Source organism: Homo sapiens, chromosome 4 (assembly GCF_000001405.40).
Source record: "Homo sapiens chromosome 4, GRCh38.p14 Primary Assembly".
Lineage (NCBI taxonomy): Eukaryota > Metazoa > Chordata > Mammalia > Primates > Hominidae > Homo > Homo sapiens.
The window spans coordinates 37,782,136-37,788,189 of record NC_000004.12 but is presented as its reverse complement, the minus strand read 5'-3'; the positions used below and the strand labels follow the sequence as shown (position 1 = coordinate 37,788,189).

Below are 6,054 nucleotides of genomic sequence, written 5' to 3'. Positions count from 1 at the left end.
TCCTCACATTTCAAAACAAATCATGCCTTCCCAACAGTCCCCCAAAGTCTTAACTCATTTCAACATTAACTCAAAAGTCCACAGTCCAAAGACTCATTTGAGACAAGGCAAGTCACTTCCTCCTATAAGCCTGTAAAATCAAAAGTAGGTTAGTTGCTTCCTAGATACAATGTGGGTACAGGCATTGGGTAAATACAGCCATTCCAAATGGGACAATTTGGCCAAAACAAAGGGGCTACAGGCCCCATGCAAGTCCGAAATCCAGCAGGGCAGTTAAATCTTAAAGATCCAAAATGATCTCCTTTGACTCCATGTCTCACATCCATGTCATGCTGATACAAGAGCGGGGTTCCCATGGTCTTGGGCAGTTCCACCCCTGTGGCTTCGCAGGGTACAGCCTCCCTCCCAGCTGCCTTCACAGGCTGGCATTGTCTGTGGCTTTTCCAGGTGCATGGTGCAAGCTGTCAGTGGACCTATCATTCTGGAGGATGTTGGTCCTCTTCTCACAGCTCCACGAGGTGGTGCCCCAGAAAGGACTCTGTGTGGGGACTCCAACCCCACTTTTCCCTTCTGCACTGCCCTAAGCAGAGGTTCTCCATGACAGCCCTGACCCAGCAGCAAACTACTGCCTGGACACCCAGGGGTTTCCATACATCCTCTGAAATCTAGGCAGAGGTTCCCAAACCCCAGTTCTTGACTTCTGTGCACTCGCAGGCTGAACACCATGTGGAAGCTGCCAAACTGCCATGTGGAAGCTTCAGAGGGTGTAAGCCTCTGAAGCCATGGCCCAAGCTCTATGGTGGCCCCTTTCAGCCATGGCTGGAGCGGCTGGGACGCAGGGCACCAAGTCCCTAGGCTGCACACAGCAGGCGGACCCTGCACCTGGCCCACAAAACCACTTTTTCCTCCTAGGCTTCTGGGCCTATGATGGGAGGGGCTGCCATGAAGACCTCTGACATGCCCTGGAGACATTTTCCCCATTGTCTTATGGATTAACATTCAGCTCCTCATTACTTATGCAAATTTTTGCAGCAGGCTTGAATTTCCTCTCAGAAAATGGGATTTTATTTTCTGTTGCATTGTCAGGCTGCAAATTTCTGAACTTTTATGCTCTGTTTCCCTTTTAAAACTCAATGCCTTTAACAACACCCAAGTCATATCTTGAATGCTTTGCTGCTTAGAAATTTCTTCCACCAGATACCCTAAATCATCTCTCTCAATTTCAAAGTTCCAGAAATCTCTAGGGCAAGGGCAAAATGCCCAGTCTCTGCTAAAACATAACAAGAGTCGCCTTTGCTCCATTTCTTAACAAGTCCCTCATCTCTATGTGAGACCAACTCAGCCTGGACCTTATTGTCCATGCCGCTATCAGGCTTTTGGTTAAAGCCATTCAACAAGTCTCAATGAAGTTCCAAACTTTCCCACATTTTCCTATCTTCTTCTGAGCCCTCCAAACTGTTCCAACCTCTGCCTGTTACCCAGTTCCAAAGTCACTTTCACATTTTTGGGTATCTTTTCAGCAGTGCCCCAGTCTATTGGTACCAATTTACTGTATTAGTCCATTTTCATGCTGCTGATAAAGACATACCTGAGACTGGGCAATTTACAAAAGAAAGAGGTTTATTGGACTTACAGTTCCATGTGGCTAAGGAAGCCTCACAATCATGGTGGAAGGCAAGGAGGAGCAAGTCACATCTTACAAGGATGGCAGCAGGCAAAGAGAGGAGCTTGTGAAAGGGAATTTCCCTTTTTGAAACCATCAGATCTCATGAGACTTATTCACGGTCATGAGAACATCATGGGAAAGATTTGCCCCCATGATTCAATTGCCTCCCACCGGGATCCTCTCACAACATGTGGGAATTCAAGATAAGATTTGGGTGGGGACACAGCCAAACCATATTAGTAGGGGATAAGCAAGATGGTGAAAAGTTGCATAATTTTCACCTTCCCTGGGACCTCCAAAATATCACAACAAAGAGTTCTTTGTTTGTTAGGAACATATTAGGCTGCAAATAATAGAATACTAGACTCATGGTCGCTTACATCAATGGGAGTTTATTTAAAATCAGAGCTATGTAGCAGTTGGCATGGATTCAGCTGTTCAACGATGCCATCAGGGACCCAGACACTGTCTATATTTCCACTTTACCATCCTTGTTCTGTTGGCTTTTGTGCTCATGCTTGCCACATTATGGTCTTAGGGTAGTTGCTATGGGCTCACACATTACGTTTATATTTCAAGGCAGGGAGAAGGAAAATGAGGAAAAAGGTACCAACAATGGCCATGTTCTTCTTTAAGAATTAACTAACTTAAAGATAGTTAGTTCTTTCCCAGAAATATCCTCACCAAGTTTCTACTTGCATCACGTGGCCTCCCTGAATATAAGGGATGAAAGGAAATAATTTAGCTTTTATATCTTCTATAATAGATGCAGGCAAGGGAGAAGGCATGGTGCTGGATCAACCAAGCCTATAATATCTGCCATATTTATGGAATTCATAAATGTGGGCTGTGTAGGAGCTAGTTTGGGAAATCAAAGAGAGTGATGAGTTTTCCACTGGGAGTTTGTCTGGTGTGAACAGATGCAGCTCTTGAGAAAGAAAGAGGTCACAGAGGAGAAGAATCCAGGGAAATGCAGCCCTTGAGAATGGACAGAATCCAGGTGAGAGCTTTTGGCTTCCACAGACTGCAGATTGGAAGGATGGGATGTGTCACAACACTGAGATTTCATGGTTGATGTCCAGCTTCTACTGATCTTTAGTTAATCACCAACCCCTGCTAATTCTTCCTCTCCTACAGTCTTCAAATTTGACACTTTCACGCAGTCCTTTCTTTAACATCACTACTAGTGAAGCAGGATATTTCCCTGACCCCTTCGAGGGACTTGTGACAGGTGTGCTTCATTTACTCAGCCTACCACTCTCAACTCTTCATGAGAGGGAGCACATGATCAAACGAGTGTGGCAACTGGAGTAGATGAGTGCTGGAATCAGCTCCTTTGGCACTGGTGGGATCACACTCCACTCACTCAGACCTGCTGCATTCCAGCCCTTGTAGGAGGGAGCAGACAGGTGAGAAGGTGCAGGAACTGGCTGGATGCTTTAGCGCCAGCAGGAGCAAACTCCATGCAGGCCCCACAGCAGCATCCAGGCAGGGGTGTCTGCAACCCCCAAAGCCCCAGAGGGAGTGTTACAGAGCTCTTTTAGCTCTGCCATCTTTGGATGGCTTAAGTGTTAACAGCTCAGTTAACAGCTCAGGCCCTTTGCCTTTTCATGTGAGGCAGCTGCCCTCCACCTGTGAAAGCAAAGGGACAGTGTGACAGCCTTTTGAATCCACGCTTGTGTCTCCCAAGCTCTTATCTGGCATCCGGGAAAAATGAAGTTGCATGAACGAATTGAAGGATGGTAAATGCAGGGGGATTTTATTGCCAATGAAAGTGACTCTTAGCAGGAAGGAGGGCTGAAAAGAGGATAGTGAGGGAAGGTAATCTTCCCCTGAGGTCCAGCTGTCTCTGGCCAGATTCTTCTCTGAAGTTACACCAACAAGTTGTCTCTCTGAAGACAAGCCACTTCTCTCCAACATCTAGCCATAGTTCCTGCCTACTGGCTGGAACTTTTATAGGCACAGGATGGGGTGGGGTGGGGCCATGGGTAGTTTAGAAAAAGGCAACATTTGAGTGGGAAAACAGGGATAAAACAGGGATAAAAATTCTCATTTTGGGCCACAGTTGCAGACTTTTTGGCTTGAGGATGGGGTTTCACTGGGGACCTGCCTGTTTGCCTAGAATTTCTCTGCCCCCGTCCCTATCACTAATGTCTCCCTTGCCATTCCTGAAATTTCCATAGATGTCTTGTCTGTCTGCCTTCAGTTTTTCTCCTTCTAGTCCATCCTCATTTCGCTTGTTTTTGTCTAGCAATTGCCCTGTACTTTAAAGGCTGCAAAATCACTTTCATGGGGAAAGAGTATAACTAATAAATGGCTGGAAAACAAAATGTCTTGGACCATGGTGAGAAATTAACAACAGAATTAGTCATCATCATGGATAGAGCTGGAGGTCATTATCCTTAGCAAAGTAATGCAGGAACAGAAAACCAAATACCGCATGTTCTCACTTATAAGTGGGAGCTAAATGATAAGGACACATAGAGGGGAACAACACACACTGGGGCCTATTGGAAGGTGGAAGGTGGGAGGAGGGAGAGGATGAAGAAAAATAACTAAGGGGTACTAGGCTTAACACCTGGGTGATGAAATAATCTGTACAACAAACTGCCCCCCGACTTCATGACACACATTTACCTGTGTAATAAACCTGCACATTCTGCACATGTACCCTTGAACTTAAAAGTTAAAAGAATTAGTCATTTTAATGCTTGGGTTGTGATGTCCCCTCCTTTGCTTCTGAGAGCTCACTACAGAAACACAGGCCCTTCAGCTTCAGGTCCTTGGCATGTAGTTTCTTTGGATTTTCAGATACCAAAGAGGGCCCATCCAGTAACTTATGGTGCACATTATTTGTAAAGTTCATATAGATAAGTCACATTCTCCAAAACAAGCAACAAAAATGTAATTATGTGAAAACATTTTTGAATAGTAACCATACATAGAAAACGTGTTTTAGAATATTTCATTGTTGTGGAAAGATGGTTAAATATCTTGTTAAGTGGAAAAAGTGGGCTCCAAAACAGCATGTATGATTTGAGTTTTACACATGTATGTGTGTGTGTGTGCATGCACGTGCACACGCATGCACACACACACACACGCAGAGAAAGAAGAGAATGAGAGAGGAATTTCACCCTAGGTGTTTCTTAGGCACCAACTTTAGAATTTAATTCCAGTAAGGTGTGACTCCATTATCTTGTTTAATCCATCCATTAAATACATCTGTTAATAGGTATTAAGGCTATAGCTGCTTAATATTAAAACATAACAGATTAAATACTGCCAGGAAGCAGAACTACTTGGAATTTTCCCTGTCTCCCAGGTTATTTTAAGATATTACTTTTGTTTCTTCTTTTATTCTAGTTGAGCAATTCCCAAAACTTCTTATATATAAGAAGCACTCTCCAGGGTTATAAACACAAAACTGTGTATACTGAATCTTATGAGTGATTTAAGGACAGTTCAGTGATAATTTGTAAGTTTCCCCTCCTTATTAGCTGATATGGTTTGGCTGTGTTCCCACCCAAATCCCCTCTTGATTTGTAGCACCTATAATTCCCATGTGTTGTGGGAGGGACCTGGTGGGAGATAATTGAATCATGGGGGTAGTTTCCCCCATACTGTCCTCATCATAGTGAATAAGTCTCATGAGATCTGATGATTTTATAAGGGGAAACCCCTTTTGCTTGGCTCTCATTCTCTCTTGCTTGCTGCCATGTAAAACATGCCTTTCTCTTTCTGCCATGATTGTAAAACCTCCCCAGCCACGTGAAACTGTGAGTTCATTAAACCTTTTTCTTTTTTTTTGAGATGGAGTTTTGCTCTTGTTGCTCAGGCTGGAGTGCGATGGTGCGATCTTGGCTCACCACAACCTCCACCTCCTGGGTTCAAGCAATTCTCCTGCCTCAGCCTCCTGAGTAGGTAGGATTACAGGCATGCACCACCACGTCCAGCTAATTTTGTATTTTTGGTAGAGATGGAGTTTCTCCATGTTGGTCAGGCTGGTCTTGAACTCCCGAACTCAGGTGATCCACCTGCCTCAGTCTCCCAAATTACTGGGATTACAGGTGTGAGCCACCGTGTCTGGCCAAACCTCTTTTTCTTTATAAATTACCCAGTCTTGGGTATGTGTTTATCAGCAGCATGAAAATGGACTAACACATTAGCTGACTTTGGAATCAAAGCTTGAGTCACATGCTTTCACCATACTTACACTATAAAGAAAAATCCAGATGGATATAACGCACACTAAAAAGTGGAGAGGATTTCTTCTTGGTAATGGAAAGTTTTTAAAAGTAAAAAAACTTTTACTTTATTCTTACCTGTATTTTTTACTTTTTCTATAGTGAAGCCCTATTAAATGATAAAAGTTCATGAACAATATT

At 43.9% G+C, this 6,054-nt stretch overlaps 1 annotated feature.

The window, feature by feature from the left end:
* Positions 348 to 847: an enhancer, noted in NCBI's record as "H3K4me1 hESC enhancer chr4:37788965-37789464 (GRCh37/hg19 assembly coordinates)". NCBI's record gives its function as "activates a minimal SCP1, AML or CMV promoter by ChIP-STARR-seq in naive H9 embryonic stem cells {active_cell/tissue: H9 hESC(naive)}" and the evidence as "EXISTENCE:reporter gene assay evidence [ECO:0000049][PMID:30033119]".